Source organism: Homo sapiens, chromosome 1 (genome assembly GCF_000001405.40).
Source record: "Homo sapiens chromosome 1, GRCh38.p14 Primary Assembly".
Lineage (NCBI taxonomy): Eukaryota > Metazoa > Chordata > Mammalia > Primates > Hominidae > Homo > Homo sapiens.
Genome location: NC_000001.11, coordinates 49,667,498 through 49,693,125, shown reverse-complemented (window position 1 = coordinate 49,693,125; position 25,628 = coordinate 49,667,498). Strand labels below are relative to the sequence as shown.

At 35.8% G+C, this 25,628-nt stretch overlaps 1 protein-coding gene across 10 annotated transcripts in view; it reads left to right on the top strand.

The window, feature by feature from the left end:
* The window catches only part of AGBL4 (AGBL carboxypeptidase 4), a 1,501,444-nt gene that overhangs the window by 330,829 nt on the left and 1,144,987 nt on the right, over positions 1 to 25,628 (top strand). The window lies entirely within an intron of this gene.

Sequence of the window (25,628 nt, the reverse complement as noted above, 5' to 3'; positions counted from 1 at the left end):
ATAAACTCCAGTGTTCAGAAATCCATAATAAATTGTTACTTTTTCCTCACTTGTTTTGAAACTTCACACAGATAAATGGGATATGATGCAATGTCTCAGGCCTCTAGTCATAAATTAATTGCATTCCAGCAATAACATGAGACATCAAAACAGATAGAGTTATTATTTTGACTCCTTTTCTCAATTCATCAATCCTGTTTTACCTGGGATTGCCAATAGATTGTCGTCTGATGTATGTAATAGGAGATTTTAAAAAAAGAAGTGTTTAACAATATAGTATTTCTTGGATTACTATAAGAAATAATGTAGTTTAAACATACACATGCACACATACACACTTTTACATAGATGTGTTTAAATTTCCCTTTAAGATTCTGAGAAAGTTTGCTGCTCTTTTTTTTTTTTTTTGAGACAGAGTCTTTTTCTGTCGTCTAGGCTGGAGTGCAGTGGCGCGATCTTGGCTCACTGCAAGCTCCGCCTCCCAGTTTCACGCCATTCTCCTGCCTCATCCTCCTGAGCAGCTCTGACCACAGGCACCTGCCACCATGCCCAGCTAATTTTTTGTATTTTTAGTAGAGTCGGGGTTTCACCGTGCTAGCCAGGATGGTCTCGATCTCCTGACCTCGTGATCCACCCGCCTCAGCCTCCCAAAGTGCTGGGATTACAGGCGTGAGCCACTGTGTCTGGCCAGTTTGCTGCTTCTTTAGTCTCCATTCTGGAGAATTCAGGCTCTGAAATTTCATCCTGGCCATGGTCAAAATCAGCAGTCCACAAAGGCAGCATATCACAGTGGAATTAGCACAGACAATGGATTTAAACCAATTTTGGTTTATATTTCTGACTCTTACTTATGAGCCGTTTTACCTGTGATCAGTTTAAATAATCTCTTGGTACCTCAGTTTTCTCATCTGTAAAATGAAAGTAATAATACTAATTCATAGGGGTCTTGTGAAAATTAAACAAGACAATGTTAAGTAAAGAGACTACTAATATGGTTTGGCTGTGTCCCCACCCAAAGCTCATCTTGATTCCCATGTGTTGTGGGAGGGACCTGGCGAAAAACAATCATGGGGGCAGGTCTTTCCTGTGTTGTTCTCATGATAGTGACTAAGTCTCATGAGATCTGATGATTATATATGGGGAGTTTATTAAGTATTAACTCACATGATCACAAGGTCCCACAATAGGCCATCTGCAGGCTGAGGAGCAAGGAAAGCCAGTCTGAGTTCCAAAACTGAAGAACTTGGAGTCCGATGTTCGAGGGCATGAAGTATCCAGCAAGGGAGAAAGATGCAAGCTGGGAGACTAGTCCAGTCTCTCTTTTCACATTTTTCTGCCTGCTTATATTCTAGCCACACTGGCAGCTGATTACATTGTGCCCACCCAGATTAAGGGTGGGTCTGCCTTTCCCAGCCCAACTGACTCAAATGTTAATCTCCTTTGACAACATCCTCACAGACACACCCAGGATTAATATTTTGTATCCTTCAATCCAATCAGGTTGATACTCAGTATTAACCATCACAACTACCATAGTGTTTGGTAGACAATAGGGACTCAATACTTGATGGCTATTGTTTTTATTAAAACACCCCAACAGTATCCTGTCTGTCATGGTGGCCAACATGAGAATGCAGAGCACCATTGTCATCCACCAGGACTATCTCCACTACATCCACAAGTACAATCCTACAAGAAGCACCCCAAGAACATGTCTGCACACCTGTCCCTCTGTTTCAAGGACATCCAGGTCAGCAACATCATCATGGTGGACAAGTGCTAGCCCTTGAGGAAGATAGTGCACTTCAACATGCTCAATGTCACCAAGGCCACCACCATCAAGAATCAATTTCAGAAGTTCTGAGACTGGACATCTGCCCAGACCTCAGTATGAAGTAAAGTTGCCTTCTCATTCAAACTATAGCAACAACAGCAGCAAGAACAAAAACTACCACCACAACAGATTACTACTAGAAAACTGCTACTAAAACAGGTTTTTTGCCCTTATTCCTTTTCGACCTTCCTTTTCTCCTGTTTATCCTTCACCTCCTCCTCCACCTTCTTTCAAAACCTGTTATTGATGCTCATCATCATCATCATCATCATCAAGCAAAATGTACTAGTTAAGAATACAGACTTTTCGTTAGACATACATTCCAGGCCTAGCTCTTCCACTTACTGCCTCTGTGACCTTGAGAAAGTTATTGAACTGTCTATTTAAATTATTAATTTCTATATTTATTCAGTGGGGTTAATAGTACCTAATAGCGTTGATGGAAGAAACACATGGGATGATGCAAATAAAACACTAAATTTAATGCCTGGTCCATAGGAACAGTGCAGCAAATGTTATCTATTAATATTACTATACTTCTAATACTAATAGGAAATATAACACAGGTTCTCATTTGCTCTGTCATTCAACTTATTACATTAATAGCTAAAATTTACGGAACACTTCAATGTCATAAGTAGTGTTCTAAGCCCTTTATATTAATTCATTCATTTATTCCTCAAAGAAATTCTTTGAAGTAAGTACCATTATTAGTATCCTAACCCCCATTTTGCAGTTGAAGAAGCTGAAAGGAACTGAGACAAAGAAAGGATGAATAACTTGCTGAAGATCATACAATTAGTAAGTGGTTTATACAGGATTTGTGCCTAGGTAGTCACTGTAGGAATGCTCACTGTAGTAAATTTGGAAAATATAGCTAACTATTGAAAGCAAGCAAGAAAAAAACTGAAACACATAATCCTCCTACCTAAAAGGAATGACTGTGAACCTTTTAACATACAGGCATACTTCAGAGATATTGTGGGTTTGGTTCGAGATCATAGCAATGAAATGAATATCACAATAAAGTGAGTCACATGAATTTTTTGGTTCCCTGGTACATATAAAACTTATGCTCACTATATTATAAAATGTGCAATAGCATTATGTCTAAAATCAATGTGTATACCTTAATTGAGAAACACTTTATTGCAAAAAAAAAATTAATGTTCATCTGAGGCTTCAGTGAGTCTTAATCTTTTTGGCTGGTGAAGGGTCTTGCCTTGATGTTCATGGCTGCTGACTGATCAGGGTGCTATTGCTGAAGGTTGGGGTGGCTGTGGCAATTTCTTAAAATAAGACAGCAATGAGGTATACCACATCAGTTGACTTCATCAGTTAACTCATGAAATACTTCTCTGTAGCAGGTGAAGCTCTCTGATAGCATTTTACTCACAGTAGAACTTCTTTCAAAATTGGAGTCAGTCCTCTCAAATCATGAAAAGTAACCCCATTTGCAGTAGCCAAAAATAAAATTAAACACGTAGGAATTAACTTAACCAAAGGACTGAAAGCTCTCGTTTATGGAAGACTATAAAATATTGATCAAAGAAATTGAAGAGGACAGAAAAAAAGGAAAGATATTCCATGTTCATGGATTAGAAGAATCAACATTATTAAAATGTCCACACTACCCAAAGCAGTCCGTAGATTGAATGTAATCTCTATCAAAATACCAATGACATTCTTCACAGAAATAGAAAAAATCCTAAAATTTATATAGAGCCACAATAGACCCAGAAGAACCAAAGCTATCCTGAGCAAAAATAACAAAACTGGAGGAATCACATTACTTGACTTCAAATTATACTGCAGAGCTATAGTAACCAAAGCAGCATGGTACTGGCATAAAAGCAGACACATAGACCAAGGAACAGAATAGAGAACTCAGAAAAGAATCCATATTATCTACAGTGAACTCCTTTTTGACAAAAGTGCCAAGAATATACATTGGGGAAAGGACAGTCACTTCTATAAATGCTGCTAGGAAAACTGGATATCCACATGCAGAAGAATGAAACTAGGCTCCTGTTTCTCACTATCTACAAAGTTAAATTAAAAGAGATTAATGATTTAAATCTGAGACCTCAAACTATGAAACTACTAAAAGAAAACATTGAGGAAACTCTCCAGGGCATTGGCGTGGGCAAAGATTTTTTGAGTAATACTCCACAAACATAGGCAACCAAAGCAAAAATGGACAAATGGGATTATATCAAGTTAAAAAGCTTCTGCACAGCAAAGAAAGCAATGAACAAAGTGAAAGATGACTCACACAATAGGAGAAAATATTTGCAAACTCTACCCACCTGACAAGGGATTAATAATCAGAAAATATAAGGAACTCAAGTAATAGGAAAAAAATCAAATAATATGATTTAAAAATGGGCAAAAGTTCTGAACAGACATTTCTCAAAAGAAGACATACAAATGGTAAACAGGCATATGAAAAGGTGCTCAACATCAGTGATAATCAGAGAAATGCAAATCAAAACTACAATTAGATATCATCTCATCTCAGTTAAAATAGCTTATATCCAAAAGACAGGCAATAACAAATGCTGGCGAGGATATGGAGAAAAGGGAACCCTCATACATTGTGAGTGGGCATGTAAATTAACACAACCACTATGGAGAACAGTTTTGGACCTTTTTCAAAAATCTGTAGAGCTACCAAATGATCCAAAAATCTCACTGCTAGGTATATACCCAAGAAAGGAAATCAGTATATTGAAGATATATTTGCAATGTCATGTATATTGCAGCACTATTCACCATAGGCAAGATTTGGAAGTAACTCAAGTGTCTGTCAACAGATGAATGGATAAAGAAAAATGGTACACCTACACAATGGAGTACTATTCAGCCATAAAAAAGAACGAGATCCTTTCATTGGCAACAACATGGATGGAACTGGAGGCCATTATGTTAAGTGAAACAAGCCCTGCACAGAAAAACAGACTTTACATGCTCTCTCTTTTTGTGGTAGCTAAAATTAGCTAAAAATTAAAACAATTTAACTCATGGAGGTGGAGACTAGAAGGATGGTTACCAGAGGCTGGGAATTGTAGTGGCATGATTGTTGTGGGGAGGGTGTGGAAGTGGGTATAATAATAGTTAGAAAGTATGAATAAGACCTAGTATTTGCTAGCACAACAGATTGGCTATAGTCAATAATAATTTAATTGTACATTTAAAACAACTAATATAGTATAATTGGATTGCTTATAAGACAAAGGATAAATGCTTGAGGGATGCATACCCCATTTGCCCTGATGTGATTATTACAATTGTATGCCTTTATCAAAATATCTCATATACCTTATAAACATATATACCCACTATGTGCCCATAAAAATTAAAAATAGAAAACATTCAGAGGGAAGTGTTGTATTCAATATGTAGAGGATATGGTTAGCTTAATGAATTTGCGTATGTACTTTATTATTTCAATTTTAGTGTAAGTGTGGCAAACATGAACATACTTGTATTTTTTTAATTTTTTTTTTATTTTTTTTAGATAGGCTTTTACTCTGTCATCCAGGCTGGAGTGCAGTGGCATGATCTTGGCTCACTGCAACCTCTGCCTCCTGGGTTCAAGCAATCCTCCTGCATCAGCCTCCTGAGTAGCTGATACTACTACAGGAGTGCACCACCATGCTGGACTACTTTTTTGTATTTTTGTAGAGATGAGGTTTCACTGTGTTGCCCAGGCTGGTCTTGAACTCCTGAGCTCAAGTGATCCGTCCCCCTCGGCCTCCTAAAGTGCTGGGATTGCGGACATGAACCGTTGTGCTCTGCCCATATTTTTATTCTTTCAAGTCGGCTTCTATTGTTTTACAGAGATAACTTTAAGTTTCTGGGGACTGATAATAAACCTAGTAACTATTCCTATTATTAAGTTCATATTACAAATGACAAAATCAAATTTGTTTCCTTACTTTACCACTTTTAGAGTCATTTCCTAAATTTATCTGTGCCTTTCTATCTCTGCTACAGCCATTCAAGTTTAATCTATTTACATATATTGTTTGGACTATGGCAGTTGTCTTCCAACTGTGGTTTTGTCCAGGGTTTCATGCAATTTAAGTTCATCCTTCACACTGAAGCTGGAGCATTATATGTAAAGTGCAAATTTAACCTTGCCACTCCACTGCAAAATGCCTTAAATACCCCTCTATTACCTTTAGGGTAAAGTCCAAACTTCTTAGCCTGGCATGTGGTACCATTCATGATCTAGTTCTTATCCAGTTTGCTTTTGACTTACATACTTATTGGCCTTCTTGTAGTTCCCTACAGCGACCATGTTGTTTCATATTTCCATGAATTTTACTGTATTTTTCCTGTAATGCCATTCTAACATTTATTCATTTGGATTAAGCTCAAGCTTTGGAGTCAGACTGCCAGGGTTGGTATTCTACTTCAACTATTTACTGTGTCACCTGGGCAAATTATTTTATACTCCCTCTGTTTCAGTTTCCTACCTACCTGAGATAATATACACAAAACAATTGCAGTTTTGCCTAACATGTAGAAAGCTTTCCATAAATTTTACTTTCTTATTATTTATATTCAATAAATACTTATTGTGTGTGCCAGATACTGCTCTAGGCATTCAGGAATCAGCATTGAATAAGACAGATAAGGTTCTTCTGTTCTGGAGAAGCTTATTTTCTATTATGTGAATAAAGACAATAGATAGGAGCAAGTAAACAAAGTATTTTTAGAAGTGGCAAATCCTACCACAATTTGTTTATCCACTTAAGGGATTATATAAATGTTTTCAGTTTTTGTGATTATGAATTGGCTTTGATTATGACTGACTTTGTTTCATGGGATGATTTCAGGGGGCCAAGGCTGAGGTCAGCACTCCTGGGCTGCATGCTTTAGCCCTGAGGGGCTGGAACTAGGCCAATGGCATTGTTCTCTGGCTTGTCAAGATTAAGCACTTACTGTGCTGGAGGAGCCGAGGTGTTCCCCATCCACTGGCAACAACATTCCCATGGAGGGTGCTGGCAAAAGAACTTCAGTGGGGCCGTGGCGGGGGTCCTTATTAGAGAACCCAGAAATAAAGCCACATATCTATAACCATCTGATCTTCAACAAAGATGACAATAACAACCACTGGGGATAGTACTCCCTGTTCAATAAATGGTGTTGGGATAACTGTCTAGCCATCTGCAGAAGACTGAAACTGTACCCCTTCTTTTCACCATATATAAAAATCAACTCAAAATAGATTAAACACTTAAATATACAACCTAAGACTATAAAAATCCTAGATGAAAACCTAGGAAATACCATTCTGGATATAGACCATGGTAAAGATTTTATTAACAAATACTCCAAAAGCAATTGCAACCAAAACAAAAATTGACAAATGGGACCTAATTAAACTAAAGAACTTCTGCATAGCAAAATACACCATCAGCAGTGTAAACAGACAACAAACAAAATGGAAGAAAATATTTGCAAACTATGCACTTGACGATGGTCTAAATTCCAGAATCTATAAGGAACTTAAACAAATCAACAAGCAAAAAACAACCTGATGAAAATATGAGCAAAGATGAAAGGACACTTCTCAAAAGAAGACATACAAAGGGCCAACAAGCTTATGAAAAAATGCTCAACATCCTTGATCATTACAGAAATGCACATTGAAACTACTATGAGGTATCATGTCACACCAGTCAGAATGGCTACTATTAAAAAGTCAAAACATAACAGATGCTGGCAAGTTTGTGGAGAAAAGGGAACGCTTATACACTGCTGGTGAGAGTGTAAGTTAGTCCAGCCATTGTGGAAAGCAGGTTGAAGATTTCTCAAATAAGTTGAAACAGAGCTACCATTTGACCCAGCAATTCCATTACTGGTTACATACCCAAAGGAATATAAATCCTTCTACCATAAAGACACATGCACACATATGTTCATTCCAATACTGTTCACAATGGCAAAGACATGGAATCAACCTAGATGCCCATCAACGGTGAACTGAAAAAAATTGTGGATTGAAGAAAATGTGGTATGTATACACGACTACTGTGCAGCCATAAAAGAATGAAAGCATGTCCTTTGCAGCAACATGGGTATATCCTAAGTGAATTAACATGGGGACAGAAAACAACATACCACATGTTCTCACTTATAATTGGGAGCTAAATATTGAATACATGTGGACACAAAGAAAGGAACAATAGGCACCAGGGCCTTCTTGAAGGTGGAAGGTGGGAGGAGGGTGAGGTTCAAAAAACTACCCATTGAGTAGTATGATTACTACTTACCTGATGAAATAATTTGTATATGAAATCCCAGCCACATGCAATTTACCCATGTAACAAACCTGCACATGTACCCCCAGAACCTAAAATAAAAGTTAAAAGGAAAAAATAAAAATGAAAGTTTATCACTTTTAATTGGGCTGGGTGTCAGGAAATAGATAAAAGTAGGTTTTAAAGAGAACACTGTACTTGATCCAGTCCTTAAAGCTGCCTTAAATAGGAAAAACTCATCTTAGTCAAATAAATATCATAAACCTGTTACGATAGCCAAACTTCAATTTAATCATGAAATAAGTGGTAAAAACAATTAAATCATATAATGCTGTCAATTTATATAAAGCAAAGCATGTCTTTGCATTTTTATTAAGATTATAGAGTTGGCCTTAGAATGGGGTAGTTATATTTCACCTTTTATTGTGCTTTAACATCAACATTGATTGATGTGACATGACATGGTTACTTGTTTATGAAGAAAACTAATATGAGCTTCACACTGAGGAATTTCATGCTGGATTTTCTTTTACCCTTAGTGTGTGGTTTTTTAACTGCTGAACAATTAAAAAAGACCCAAATTTAGACTGGAAACTTATTGTGACATAAACTTATAAATATTGCTGTTGCAATATAAATAAAACACAGATGTAGAAAGTGAAAAAGATCTTTATGCAAATGAAACTGGGTACCAGAAACAGAACATCTTAGGCTAGATGAATCTTAAAGCTATGGGTTTTTGGCTGATCTACTGCCAAAGAAATGAGAGATTGATATTTAAATTTTATGTAAAATTTTATGGGTTGTCTAAGTCTTGCTTTGGCAGAACAAAAACAATAAAATCAAGAGGAAAAGGCACTGAAACTTTATAGACATTGGTTTGCTGGATATATGGGAAAAGCTTTAGAGTCTAACCAGATAAACTGTCAGAGGCTCTTATTATGCCCCATTATGAATCTAGAATGGTTCAATCCACTTGTAGCCTGACCTACTCTTGTGCTCACCTTTGAATTTTAGCTAACTTTCTTGTGCCATTCTGCAGGATGATAAACTAAATGCTGATTACTCCTCAGTCTTGAACTTTAGTTTCACTGCAGTGTAATTCATCTTTCCAGCAGCCTACCAAACACTTCCACATCAGTATTGAACAGCAAATTTTCATCAAGTGTGTATCCTCTTTTTGCAGTCCTATTTTTAACTTATTGTACCATTTGCTGTCTACTTAATTACTCAGATAAAAATTTGGGATTCATTCTTGATGATTCATTCATTATTCATGTCGTTTCCTCATTTGGAAAGCCTTTCTGTATTTCTCACTTTGTCTAGCTCACAAAACCTTTTAGATATGGATAAAGTCTCTTTCCTTTTGGGAAGCTTCTCCTTACTTCCAGGCTATTCTCCCACAGCTTCCATTGCTGATGCTAACATAGCATGGTTATCATATGATGTTACACTTGATGTGTCATGTGTTCCTTTCCCTGATGGATTTTTAGCTACCTTCTATTAGAGACTGAGACTTAATAATTTCTTATTTAAATTTCTATGAAATAGAGCTTCTTGTGAGGACTGAAATAGCTAGCACTGAGATATAATGAGTGCCTGTGGCTGTTAGCTACTATTATTATTACTTACTATTATCTTGGTTTCTGCAGTGCTTAATATAATATCTGCCTTTAAAAAATGGATATGTTGATAAAACAAGTGAGTTTAACCTTTATCTCTGCAATGACACCCTGGTATAGCCTCCTTTTGGACATCAAGACTCCGCTTTTTTAGGGGTAATGAGATTTTCTTCCCAGGCTGATATGATTCTCTAGCCAGTGCCTTTTTTGCCTGAATTTGTACCTGAACCAAGAGGCCTGCTAAATATGTTTTTTTTAATTGAAAATGCACCTAGTGACCTTGAAACTAATAAATTATGCTTCTGGTGAACTTCTAAATTAGCAGTAAAGACGATGGCCAGTCTGTGATAATCCAGAGCAAACATCAGTCTAAGACCTGGGATAACTTTTAGAACTCAGCATAGACGTTGTGAAGTAGAACCTTTCTCTGAGCCCCTTGACTGTGTTAGGTCTCTCATTGTGTCTCTTCAATCATATCTTCTTCAATCATAGCACTTAATATACCATGATGAAATTTTCTGTCTCTGCTCTGAGACTATGAGGGTAAAATTTGTCTTTTTCATGTTGTCTTCCTAGGACAGGTTCATCTACATAATTTGCGAAGCCCAGTGAAAAATGAAAATGCAGAAACCCTTGTTAAATAATATGAAGAATTTCAAAATGGTGACATCAAAAGATTAAATCAAATGTGGGCCCTACTCATTGTGGAGCCCTGTGCAGCTGCACAGGTCACACACCCATGAAGTTGGTCCTGCTCTAGGGCCTTCGTCTGGTATGAAGTAGTAGGTTTGACAGATAAATGAATAGATTACTAACATGTAAGCTATTGAAAAATCTGTGATGAGTGGGCAATAACAATGACCTACATTGAATAAGCATCAAAAGTGAGAGGCCAATATTTTTCAATAGTAGATAGAACTTTCTTACACAATCATTAATGAGAGTCAGTAATTTATTAACTTTATGTCTTATTTATGTATATTTTTTCTGGGGGGACGGAGTCTCACTGTTTCACCAGGCTGGAGTGCAGTGGCGTGATCTCGGCTCACTGCAACCTCCACCTCCCAGATTCAAGAGATTCTCCTGCCTCAGCCTCCTGTACCTGGGACTACAAGCGTGTGCCACCACACCCAGATAATTTTTGTATTTTTAATAGAGATGGGGTTTCACCATGTTGGCCAGGATGGTCTCGATCTCTTGACCTTGTGATCCTCCCTCCTCGGCCTCCCAAAGTGCTGGGATTACAGGCATGAGCCACCGTGCCCCACCTATATGTTTTTTAATCAAGGAAAGTAATCTTGACTCTTAAATTAATAGATAATTACATTAAATTCTTAATTCCAGATTTATTTTTTTAAAGAAATAGTTTGCTGTACTTTTTTAGTAGGCAGAGGCCAAGGTAGGAGAAAGCCACTTTCTTTCTTGATTTAAATAAAATTGCAGCTTAATGGTAGGCACAATCTTTTCACCATCACATATTTCCAGAAAATTGTAGAGAAAAACTTCCATATTAAAAAGGCATGGCATTTACTCTTTTACTTTGCTAAGCCAATGACCAATACAAAAGTACTTATAATGGCAAAGGGAATAAAGGATCTCTCACAGAAGTTTGTATATAGATTATTGTAGAAACAGAGTAGCTTCCTTAATTTGCAATGTAGAAACACTGTTTTATGACTTTCTGCTGTGAAATCAGAGAGGCTGGAATTGTGGCTCCAGAAAGATGTAGTAGACATATTTTTCCCTAGTTTTCCTAGTAAATGCAACTAAAACCCTGAACATTTTATATAAAACATAAGAAGACTATGAAAGGTGGAGTAAAGAAGGCAGACCATCTAGGGACTTGAGGACTTGCAAAATAATGTGACGCTAGAGTGCTAACACTGGAAGCATAGTGGGGAGACTGAATGATAACCTCCACCTCACAGTAACATGGTCCCTTCATCCTTCTGATATCAATATAAGGCAAGTGGAGAATCTGGACTTCTATCCATACCTGGAAGTAATGAGGTAACCTCCCCTTTTCTTCTAGAACAATGTTAAAAGAACACTGCTAAAACACAAGATTGATATAAAATCCAGGATTTCATAAGATAATATAAAAATATTTAGATTTTAGTTAAAAGTAATCTGTCATAGCAAGAACTGGGGAAATCTCAACTTGAAACACAAAAGATAACCAACAGACACCAACATTAAGATGACACAGTTAGAAGTATCTGCTGAGGTTTTTAAAGCAGCCATCATAAAAATTCTTTTACAAACTATTACACATTTAAAACAAATGCAAAACACAGTTTCAGTAATGAAATAGAAGATACAAAGAACAACCACGTGGAAATTTTAGAACTGGAAAATACAATAAATGAAAGAAAAACTCAGTGAATGTGCTCAATAGAATGGGGAGGACAAAGGAAAGTGTCAGTGAACGTTAATGTAGAATGTAACAATTATCCATTCCAAGCAACAGGAGGACAATAGTTTAAAAAAAAAAAAGGAAAAACAACAGAGCATCAGGAACATCAGGGAATTCAACAGAATGATCTAAATTCATGTTATTGAAGTTCCAGAAGCAAAGGAGAAAGAGACTGGAGCTGAAAATCATTCATACAAATAATGGCTGAAAATTTCTAAATCATAGCAAATACATAAACCTATAGATTGGGTGAACCTCAAAGCAGGATAAACCCAAATAAAACCATGGCAAGACATATCATAGCCAAATTTCAAAAACCAAATTAAAAAAAATTTTTGAAAGAAAACAGAGGAAAGAAATGCTTACTTATAGAGAAAAAAATTTGAAAGATAGAGGCTTTATAATAAGAGATCATGGAACCCACAATAAAGTGCTGTAACATTTTCAAGTGGTATAGAAAATACCTATCTACTTAGAATTCTATATCCAGTGAAAATATGTTTCAGGAATGAAGAGAAAATCAAGGCACTCTCAGATGAATGAAGGAAAACTAATAAAATTGTTGCCATACAGCAAGAATGACTAAAAGAAGTTCTTAAAAGGAAAGGAAAATGATAAAAGAAAGAATCTGGCTGGGCACGATGGCTCACACCTGTAATCCCAGCACCTTGGGAGGCAGAGGTAGGCGGATCACAAGGTCAAGAGATCGAGACCATCCCGGACAACATGGTGAAACCCCATCTCTACTAATAATACAAAAAATAGCTGGGTGTGGTGGTGCATGCCTGTAGTCCCAGCTACTCGGGAGACTGAGGCAGGAGAATCTCTTGAACCTGGGAGGCAGAGGTTACAGTGAGCCAAGAGCGCACCACTGCACTCCAGCCTGGTGACAAAGCAAGACTCCATCTCAAAAAAAAAAAAAAAAAAAAGGGAAGAAGAAGAAGAAGAAAATCTTGGAACATCATGAATGAATTTAAAAAAAAACAGAAAATATTGTTTCTTCTACTCTGTTCTTAATTATGTTTGAAAGTTGAAACAAGTAGAACAGCATCTAATGCAGTTCAATGCATGTAGAGAAAATATTTAAGGTAATTGTGTTATAAATGGTAGAGCATTAAGTGATTAAAAGAGATGTAAAATTTCTGCATACTTCACTCAAACTGGTAAATGTTGACAAAGTAGACTATGATAAGTTATGTATATATGGTATGCTACCTAGAGCAACCACTATGTGCTGATGAAAAAGATATATTGAAAAACACTATGAATAATTCAAAAACAGAATTCTAAAAAGAAGAAAAGTTCAGTTAACCTACAGAAAGCCCAGAAAAAGTAAATGGAGACATGAATACAGAGAGAACAAATAGAAAATTAAACAAAATTATAGAATCAAGCCCTAACATATGCATAATTCCATTAAATGTAAGTGGCCTTATTTACAGCAATTAAAAAGCAGAAATTGGCAGCATGACTAAATAAAAGAGAGAGATGCAACTATATACTTTCTACAATAAATGTATTTCAAATGTTATTATATAGATAGATTGAAAGTAAAATGATGGAGATTCACACACACACACATGCAAACATACACACACAAGCACACACACACCTTGGTTATAATAAACCAGAAGTATATATATGCATATCAAATAAGTAGAACAAAGAAAATTATCAGAGACAGAGAAGCACTTCATGTAATGACAAAAATGTCAATTCACCAAGAAGGCATCTTCTTCTGAATGTGTATGTATCAAACAACAAAGCTGAAAAGTATTTGAAGCAAAAACTAATAAAACTGATTGAGGAAATACATAAATTCAGAATAGCTAAAGACTTCAACACCCCTCTCTCAACAACTGGTAACACATCTAGATGTAAAATCATCAACGACTTAAAACTTAAGAGTACCATCAACCCACAGGCATCAATCAACATTTATAGAACACTCCACCCAATATGAGAATAAACAATTTTTTCAAATGACCATGGCATTCAATAGAAGATATACCATATCCTGGGACATTAAGCACACATTAACAAATTTTGGGAAATTTCAATCTATATATCCCATATATAGAGGATATACCATATCCTGGGACATTAAATACACCTTAAAAAATTTTAGGAAATTCCAAATAATTGAAATGATACAGAGTGGGTTTTTTGATCACAGTGAATGGAACTAAAAGCAAATAACAGAAAAATAAAAATAAATCTTCAAACATTTGTAAACTAAACAATGCACTTATAAGTAATTTATGGTTTTAAAAGTTAGTCCCAATGAAATTTAAAAAACACAGTGAAGTGAATGAAAATGAAAATACAACTTACCAAAATTTGTGGCCGGTAGCTAAACCAGTACTGAGAGGGCAATGTATAGTTCTAAATACTTACATTAGAAAAGAAGAAAGTCTAAAATCAGCAATCTAAGCTCCTTCCTTCAAAGAAATCATATAAAGAAGATAAAAATTAACCCAATGCAAACTGAGGGCAAGAAATAATAATCGGAGTAATCACTGAGATTGAAAATGAAAAGCAGTAGAGAAAATCAATCTAGCAAAAGTGGGTTCTTTGAAAAGATCAAAAGAAATGATAAAAGAAAAACCTGCAGTATGGCTGATGAAAACACAAAAAGACACACATTATTAATATTAGGAATGAAATAGGAGATACCACCATAGACTCTGAAGATGTCAATAAAATAACAAAGGAGTAATATGAATAGCCCTACACACATAAATTTGGCAAGTTAGATGAAATGAGACAATTCCTTGAGAAGTACAAACACTACAAGTTACAAAACATGAAATATATAATTTGAATAGCTCTATAACTATTAAGGACATTGAATTTGTAGTTTAGAAAAATAAAAACGTTTTCAAAAAGGATGTGTCCAAGCCTTAATTGTTTCACTAGAGGATTCTACCAAATATATAAAGAAGAATTAGCACCAGCTCTGCACTGTTTATCCAAGTCAGCTTTAGGTGCCGTAACAAAATATCATAGACTGGGTTGCTTAAGCAGCAGAAATTTGTTTTCTTACACTTCTGGAGAATGGAAGTCTAAGATCAGGGTGCCAGCATAGTTAAGTTCTGATAAGGAGTCACTTCCTGGTTACCTTCTTGCTGTGTGTTCACACTGTGGAGAAAGCAAGCAAGCTCTCTGGTGTCTCTTCTTATAAGGGTACTGATCCCAACATGAGGACCCCACCTTTATGACCTCATCTAAAGCTAATCACCTCCCTAACTCCCCATCTCCAAATGTCATCACATTGAGAGGTCTTCAAAATACTAATTTTGGGGGTCACAATTCAGTTCATGGCACTGTCTTTTCCAGAAAATAGAGAACAAAACACTTTCCACCTTATTTTATGAGCTCAGTATTGCTCCAACACCAAAATGAGAACAAAGAGAGTGCAAGTTAAAAAGATAAAACTACAGACCAATATGGATGCAAAATTTGTGAACAAAATATTTGTAAAGAGAATTTATCAATATATAAAAAGAATTATATACCAAGACTAAGTGGGGTTTTTTCCAGTGGTACAAAGCTGGTTCAGTATTCATAAATCAAGGATTGTAATCCATCACATAAATATGCTAAAGATGAAAAAAATCACATGATCATATCAGTTGATGCAGAAAAAGTATTGGCAAAATTCAACACCTATTCATAATAAATTTTCCAAAAATTTTTCCTGCATAGGTTAGAGATTGGACTAGACATTGGGGTTACAGAGATTATAAAGATATAAGAATAAAGATGTAGTTCTTCTCCTTAAGGCATTCAGGTTAGTTGCAAGAGAGAGAGAGAGACTAAGTAAGTAGAATACAATGTGCGTATGTCAGGAGAAGAGAGCAATAGCCTCTTTTGGGAGGTGCCAGGTAATGTTTCCTAAACTGTTACTATTGAACTTGGTCTAAAAGGATAAATAATAGATATTCTTTAAACAAAGAAAAAAAAGAATATTCCTGGCAGATGGAATAGTGAAAGACACAGCAGTAAAAACCATGGCATATCACTCAATATACTAGGCATTCTTAAATGATTCCCTTAATCTCTTGGCTTATACATCCTTTGCTGTTATTATTAAGAAGCAATGTTACATAATGGAAAGAGCATAGGCACTATCTATGGTTAGCCAGGCCTGACTTAAAATTCAGCTTTATTACATTTATATCGCCCCTCTATGTACAAAATGTGACTAATAATACCTGTATGTAGGATTGATGTGAACATGTCATAAAGGTAATAGGACATATGAATACCATTCTCTATCTTTGACATATTGTATGTACATGACACATAATAATGTATTTATCTGATAAATGTTTTCAAAATGTTTGTGAATTCTTAATGGTAGTCAGTTAAAATAAGAATTTACTAAGAACAAGCAACAGTGTAACACACAGACTGGCTGTATGTTTTCATTTTTAGAAGGAATATGAGCAAAGTGTATGACAACCTAAGTAGAGAAAGAATAAAATTATCTTTCCTTTGGAAGCCTTTTCAATGCCAAATGATATTACCCCAGATCAATACTTGGGTTGTATTTAGATTTTGTTGAAGACTAAATTGAAGACCTGGGCAAATTTTAGACCATATATTCCCTCATGAAATTACCTTGTGCTGCAATGCCTGGATCATCTTATAAAAGGTGATGAATACAGACTGAGTCCTAGACTGGGACTTAGTGTCTTGAGAATGAAAATAACACTATCTTAATGGAAACATTGATTTCCAGATGAATTAATGGAGTGGTTTGCTAACAACAATGGATACAGGGTCAGAAATATTGGAATTTAGGTTTACTTTTACCAAATTGCTCATGTGACCTCAGGTAAACCATTTTACCTCTCTGGGTGTTTGTTTTCTCATCTGCAAAATAAGAATAATAATCCTTAGCATCCTTACCCCTTAGGATTATTATGTACATCAGTTGAAATGATGGACATAGAACTGCTCTGTAAACCAGCCAAAGCTATAATTGTGAGGGGTTTATTTTTATCGGCACTACTCTCACATAACTTGCAGTCAAGAAATGGGTCCTTAGCTACCTCTGTCACTAATTTGCAGTAGAACTTTGTGCAAATCACTGCCTTCCTTCAGATTCAGATCTGTAAAATTAAGTGATTCACAAAATTAGTGATTCTCATCTGGAAAGTGGATCCCCCCTGGAGGAGGCTTTAAATCATATATGCTCTTTCTCCCTGTGGAGAGTTTGATATACTGTCTCCCTTAGTAGATACAGATACAATATTAAGAATACTACAGTTAACCTACTGACAAACCCATCCCTTGGACAAGGCAACTAAGATGGCTTTTCTGAGCCTTTTGTTTGGAGTAAGGTATAGACTCATGGGGCTGATTTATTACTGTTTTCTGAATCATTAGCATGATTTTATTTTTATTTTTTATTTTTATGGATTCAAGGGGTACATGTGTAGATTTGTTACATGAGTGTATTGTGTAATGCTGGGGTTTGGGTTACCCAAATAGTAATATTGTACCCAACAGGTAATTTTTCCCGGCTTACCTCCCTCCCACCCTCCTCACTTTTGGAGTCCCCAGTGTCTATTATTTCCCTCTGTATGTTCATGTGTATCTGTTGTTTAACTCCAATTTATAAATGAGAATATACAGTATTTTTTTGTTTCTGTTATGAAATTATTAACATTTAATATCAAAATCTCTTTAATGATTATGGCAAGGGGCCCATGAAAGATTCCAACAATGTGGCCTTTTTTTAAAGTCTAATTATCTTGTCTAGGTTCCAGCCCACACCCTTCTAGGGATGGCCTGCATGACAGTGTCTTATCCCTTGGTTGGAAAACAGAATGACAATCACTAGATTAGATGATCCATAGGGACTTCCATCTTCCACATCTCAGGCCTGAAACTTAGAATCTTCAAGACATTTAAAACAATTTTAGTTGTCAATACTTTGTAATTCCAGTTTAGACAGTACCTATTGCTTAAGAAAAGCTAATCCCCAGGCATTCTAATTTCTTATCTCAGTGTAGCTATCACTCAAATGTCAAAAGCTCATTACAAATGTCATAAACAAAATCAGTATTGAGTGGGGAAGATCATGGTATTAACTGCATGTGCAAGCACTATTTTGTGATTTGACATTGTTTCGTTACTGCTTGACATACTTTCATTGTATCAAGTTGTGATTAATCAAATCTTGCAGTGATACCTCTCTATCTCTCAAAGACTGTAATTCTACCACTTAATGGTGATTTCGTTCTTTTTTTTGGAAAACAGTTAGCTGCAGATCTAGGTAGATAGTTAGGCTGTTACCAGGTAATAGATTTTTTTCTTCTGTCTCATTAGCCTGAAGAAATGTGAAACTACGTGTGGTTAAACATATGTGTGTGTGTGTGTGTGTGTGTGTGTGTATTTTATTCTTATATATATTCTTTTATTCTCTTTAATAAAAATATATAAATTTATATATAAATATAATTATATATTTATATCTTTTTTATTCTCCTCTGGGCCAAGTTTTGTGTAGAGTAGAAATAGCAAGCATGGGCTGGGCAATTGGGCAAGTTAAGATGAAGATCTGATTTTGTATTTGACTCACTCTTGTAGAGGAGGTGTCATGAAGAATACATGCTGGGCCCTTTAAAGTAGAGGTTTTTCAACATAGGATATGACCAATAAATGCAAGGTAATTGAGTGTTCCTAATGTTTCTAGCCTCATTTTACCCACCTAAAAGCAAAAGAGTTGGATGAGAAGACATCTCAGGACCTTCCAAGGCTGGTGGTGTTCTAAGATTTCAAATAGAGTTCTAAAAAAGAAAAAGCTGTTTCTCAATTTTCGTGGGTGCTTATAGATCACTAGTGAGCTTGCCTTTTTTTCCGACCTATTAAATTCTGTGACTATTGATGGAAATAGTCTTGGGTACACACACTCATGATTCTTTTCTGCATGGGATTGTACCTTTTCTGAAACTCTTTTCCATTCCTTCGTCATCAGGTGGTCATTCAGGCGATCTTCAGTCAGTCATCATTCAAGCACCAGCTTCAAGATATAACCTCCAACCCCCTGTTCCTAGCCCTCTATGCACTTTCCTCTTTCATTTAGGAAGAATTAGGCACTTCTTCTCCAGCATCCCCATAGCATTTCACAACTCAGCACACTAGATTGTGATTATTTGTTTATACTTATGTCTTTCTCACTGATCTGTGAGCTTTATTTTACAGGTGGAGGCCATTTTATTTGTTACAATGTCTGCAGCAGTCAACAGAATACCTAGACAAACTAAGTGCTCTGTAAATATTCACCGAATAAACATTAAAGTTTGTTGATTTTTTTCCAATGAAAATTTCACTTGGGGAATTTTCTTTTTTAATATTTAAAAAAAGTTTATAGGTACATAGTAGGTTTATATATTTATGCAGTACATGAGATGTTTTGATATAGGTATGCAATGTAAAATAAGCACATCACGAAGAATGGGGTATCCTTACAGTCATGCATTTGTCCTTTGAGTTACAAACAATGCAATTATACACTTTAAATTATTTTAAAATATACAATTAAGTTGTTGTTGACTATAGTCACCCTATTGTGCTATCAAAAATTGAGCTACCTTATGATCCTGCAGTTCCACTGCTGGTATATAACCAAAAGAAAGGAAATCAGTAAATCGAAGGGATGTCTGCACTCCCATGTTTGTGCTGCAAGCACTGTTTACAATAATTAAGATTTGGAAAGAATAAGAAATTTATTGATTTTTGAAAAAAGTCCTTTTAAATGTGAAAGAGAAATAGAAATTACAGTAATACTTAAGTAATGACTTACTGCAACTCTTTCAAAGGCAGAGACCATCAAAATCCTATAGATGTGAAACTAATAACATGAATTATTAGTTTCATGTGTGGGGTCAACTTACTTTCTTACTTTCTTTTCATATTCTGTAGAGTCCTAGCTTTCATTACTGATTTTGGAAGTGTATGTCTTTTCTTTTTCTTTGTTAGTTTTGGGCTAAAGGTTATCAAATTTCTCTATCTTTTCTTTTCTTTTTTTTTTTTTTTTTTTTGAGATGGAGTTTTGCTCTTGTTGCCCAGGCTGGAGTGCAATGGCACGATCTCAGCTCACTGCAACCTCCACCTCCTGGGTTCAAGCGATTTTCATGCCCCAGCCCCCTAGTAGCTGGGATTACAGGTGCCCGCCACCACGCCCAGATAATTTTTGGTATTTTTAGTTGAGACGGGGTTTCACTATGTTGGCCGGGCTGGTCTTGAACTCCTGACCTCAGGCGATCCATCTGCCTCAGCCTCCCAAAGTGCTGGGATTACAGGCATGAGCCACCATGCCTGGCTTCTCTATCTTTTCAAAGAGCCACATTTTGGTTTCATCAATTTTTAATTTTTTGTTTTGTATATTATTGATTTCCACTCTGATTTTTATTATTTCTTTCCTTGTAATTACTTTGGGTTTGATTTGTTATTCTTTTTTTTAATTTTTGTTTTAGGTTTGGAGGTATATGTGAAGGTTTATTACATAAATAGACACATGTCACATGGGTTTGTCATACATATTATTACATCACCCAGGTATTAATCTTATTACACAAGAGTTATTATTTCTGCTCCTCTTCCTCCTCCCACCCTCCCCCCTCAAGTAGACCCCAGTGTCTGTTGTTTCCTGTTCCTTCTTTGTGTTTATATGTTCTTATCATTTAGCTCTCACTTATAAGTGAGAACATGAAGTATTTGGTTTTCTGTTCTTGTGTTAGTTTACTAAGGATGATAGCCTCCCACTCCATCCATGTTCTTGCAGAAGACATGATCTTATTCTTTTTTGTGGCTGCATAATATTCCATGGTATATATGTACCACATTTTATTATCCAGTCTGTCATTGATGGGCATTTAGGTTGATTCTATGTCTGTGCTATTGTGAACAGTGCTACAGTGAACATTTACATGCATATGTCTTTGTGGTAGCATGCTTTATATTCCTCTGGGTGTGTACCCAGTAATGGGATTTCTGGGTCAAATGGTAGTTCTGCTGTTAGCTCTTTGAGGAATTGCCATACTGCTTTCTACCATAGTTGAACTACTTTACACTCCCATCAACAGTGTATAAGGGTTCCATTTTCTCTGCAACCTCACCAATATCTGTTATTTTTTTGACTTTTAATTAGTAGCCATTTTGACTGGTATGAGATGGTATCTCATTGTGGTTTTGATTTGCATTTCTCTAATGATCAGTGATTTTGAGATTTTTTTCATATGCTTGTTGGCTGCATGTATGTCTTCTTTTGAGAAGTGTCTGTTCATGTCCTTGCCCACTTTTTAATGGGGTTGTTTTATTTTCTCTTGTAAATTTGTTTAAGTTCTTTTTAGATGCTGGATTTTAGACCTTTGTCAGATGCATAGTTTGCAAATATTTACTCCCATTCTGTAGGTTGTCTGTTTATTCTGTTGATAGCTTCTTTTGCTGTACAGAAGCTCTTACATTTAATTAGTTCTCATTTGTCAATTTTTGCTTTTGTTGTTATCGCTTTTGATGTCTTTGTCATGAAATCTTTGCCCGTTCCCACGTCCAGGATGATACTGCCTAGGTTGTCTTCCAGGGTTTTTATACTTTGGGGTTTTACATCTAAGTCTTTAATGCATCTCAAGTTGATTTTTGTATATAGTGTAAGGAAGGGGTCTAGCTTCAATCTTCTGCATGTGGCTTGCCAGTTATCCCAGCACTATTTATTGAATAGGAAATCTTTTCCCCATTGATTTTTTTGGATAGCTTTGTCAAACATCAGATGGTCATGTGAGGCTTTATTTCCGGGCTCTCTATTCTGTTCCATAGGCCTATGTGTCTGTGTTTTTGTACCAGTACCATGCTTTTTTGGCTACTGTAGCTTTGTAGTATAGTTTAAATTCAGATAACATGATTCCTCCAGCTTTGTTCTTTTGCTTATAATTGCTTTGGCTATTCAAACTCTTTTTTGGTTCCATATAGAATTTAAAATATGTTTTTCTAGTTCTGTGAAGAATGCCATTGGTAGTTTGATAGAAATAGCATTGAATCTGTAAATTGCTTTAGCTTCTTGAAGTAGAAGTGTTGATTATTGATGATAGATTTATTTGTTTCTAATAAAGCATTTGAAGCTATAAGTTTCACCTTAACAATTGTTTTGGCTGCATCACATTTTATTTTTATTTTTTAGTCTGGCTTCCTGTAAGTCACTTCTTTTGTGTCTGCATTGCTTAGTATTTAGCCAGTGATTTAAGTAGCACTTGTGCTCAAATACCTCAGGCCCATAAGATTTCTACCCTCTTGCCAATGGACCAGTGTGCAATTTGGAGAGCCTATTCAGAATTGTAGCTATTACTCAAGTCTGTCTTGGCTTTTACTTTTTGCTGTAGTTTCTCTCAGGTCTCATAACCTATACCTATAGCCAGGGATATGTGGCAAGCATGTTTCAGCCCTCCTATGACTCATCATTTCTAGGATCCCTTTAAATTTCTGTTCTGTCATAGCCCCAATTGGAGCTGCAACTTCAGATCAGCAAAGCTGTAGGCTTTGCCTATTTGTTTTCTACAAAGTTTACCACTTTGTAAACTTAAAAAGCTTACAGAATCATGGGCTATTGTCTTTGTGTCCCAAATCAAGTCTGCCTCTGGTAGCAAAGTTGCTGTTTTTTTGTTTCATTTTGTTTTGTTTTTTGGTTAGCACCACATTGGCAAAGCTATTGTTCTCAACTGTGGAGCTGGGGAGTGGGATGGGAGTAGCTTCAAGCAAGAAAATCTCAAACTTCTTCTGTTTGTACCAAAAGCTCTGATGATTTTTAAAGAATAGGTGCTTCTCAATCTGTTGTCTGCCTTTGCTTTATTTCCAGAGGCCTGAGATTGTTGTGATTTTTAAATTTTTTTTTCAAATTTATACTTGTGTTGATAGGATTCATTGACCACTTCAGGATGTCATATTCTGAAATCTCTTTGTAGTAGCATTTAAATGCTAATACTTGCTAGCAGCACAGGTACCCATGTTTTCATGTATTTTAGAGTGCCTATCCAACTTTTTCTTTATCTTGTGCTCTTCATTCTTTCCTTTTTTTCAAGGAGATAGAGTGGTGTAGTGAAAAGATTAAACACTTTGAAGACTGACAGCTCTAGGTATAGATCTGAGCAATATATGTATACACTGGAAACTTAATTTTTTTGAAACTCTGTTTACATACCTGTAAAGTTGATGTGATAAGATTTGCCTTATTGGGAAGATTAAACATATTCAGAGCACCTAACACAAAGTATCTGGTACATGGTAGATAACTGGTCAATCACTGTTTTCTCTATTCTTCCCTTCTTTCCCTTTCTATCATTGCAGTTTCTGATACACATTAGATTCTGCAAGATGCCATTTATAGTTCACAGAACACTGTTATTAAAATGGTCAAATGAACAAAAAAAGCTGGTTCCTATCCAGTGAATGTTAATATAGAAATACAATAATATGCTTTATATTTTTGGGTTGTGGGACAATGGTCATGTGGGTTAGCCCACACACTGGCATTTGAACTTTTTTTGCCATCTTCATCAGCTGAGGTGAAAACTTTTGAATATATATTTGACCATGTCTCTTACCAGCTTCTAATTAGTCCTCAAAGTAAAGTCCCAGCTTTTCAAAATAACATACAGGATCCTTCATGAGTTGGGCTCTCTGTGTCTTTCTACCCTCAGTTGTCCCTCCTTCCACTAGGTTTTTCCATAACTCCCTTATTTCCTGACTATGCCAGGCTATTTCATTTTTCAGTTGTATTTGCTCATATAGTTCCTTCTGTATGTATTTGAGGGTTCTATTCTCATCACTTGGTCATTTTCTTTTCATTTTCCATCTACGTGCCCACGTTTTCTGCACACTATGTTGTAAAGATCATTGCATATGTGTCTCTTCCATTAGCCTGAGAGCTTCTTGAGGACAGAAACATTATCTACTTTAATATTTGTATTTCCATTGCCTTGATCATAGATTTCCTGCACAAATGAAGAAACAGCCTGGCCCTCTCTGATAAAAAGATGAAAGATTATATGGTAGCACCAACCACCCCAGTATAGCTCTGGGTTTTGACAATAATCTAAAAATATCTGTGTCTAACAAAAGAAACGCTGTTTTCCTCCTTGCCTGTTAGGGGAATGAGGGAAACAATGTATGTCTTAGTTGATGGTTTAGCAAGATTGAGGTTCAATTTTGGATTTCTTTAAAACAGGGACTGATAACTGTGCTTCTAATCAATTCAGGAGTGGGATTCCAGGTGAAAGCATCTGATTTTCATAGCAGAGCCATTTTGGTGCTCTTTCCTTCGTTACAGTAAACTTGACAATTGCTGATGCAATTGTAGACAGTCGCTTTCTGTTTAAGGGAAACATTAGGCAGTTACTGGTAGATTTCTGACACACCATTACAGACTGCTTCCTATTAGCAGGTAGAGGAAAGACAAATGTATGTGAACCTATTAGTATCAGAATTACATGTCAAAAATCTAGAGCAAAGTTTAATTTATTTCCGTAATAATAAGCAAACCAGAGATTGACTTGACAATTATTTCTACTTCCACTGCTTTTTTTTCTGAGATGAATATTCCAATATAAAATCAATGTGCTTGGACATCTTTCAGTAAATAACAGCCTGTGTGAATTAACATTATCTCATAGGAGCAAAAATTCAATCATTTCTTAAGTGGGAATGAATATTTTATAGTCCTCTCTGGTAAAGAAATACTACAAAGCTACATTATTTCTTACGAAATTTAAAAATTGCTGGAGTAAGAACTAAAGGATGTTAAGTTCTAGCCTTGTTTCCTTCCTATAATAATTGGGTGACCTTCAGCAAGATATGACTACCTGTGTCTTTAATTCACTCAGCTGTATAAACTAATAGATAATAACCACACTACCATTTATTGAATCCCTAAACTGGGCTTTGCCCTACGATACGCTTGCTATAAATTATGTTATTGCATCTTCACAACACATTAATTACCAATATTTTTTCCCATTTTACACATAAAGAAACTGATGATCAGAAAGGTTAAGTAATTTACTCAAGGCCACATAGAGAGTAAAAGGAAGAGCAGGACAAAAATCCCTATCTGTTGGTCTTTCATGTCTCTGTTCTTTTCTTCATTCCTCTTCTTTTGTTTAATCTCACTGATATTAAAACTCCATCTTGCAGTTGCAGCAATAGATTTAAAAGAGCTTTTACATATACAAAGTTAAGACATTGTTATTTTTGCTTCTAGTTCAACTTGGTATCATAAAATTAGTATGGGGTTGTTTTCTATTGATGTTGAGTAGAGAAACTCAGATTTTTTTGAAGCCTTGTGCAGATATTTAAAAGTTTATTCTTGGACCTTTCCTGAGTAGTACTTTTATTCCTACTAGGCCTACAAAATTATATTCTATACTGTTATTTCCTTATAATATTTATGCTTATTTTTTTCCTTCTATTTTCAAATA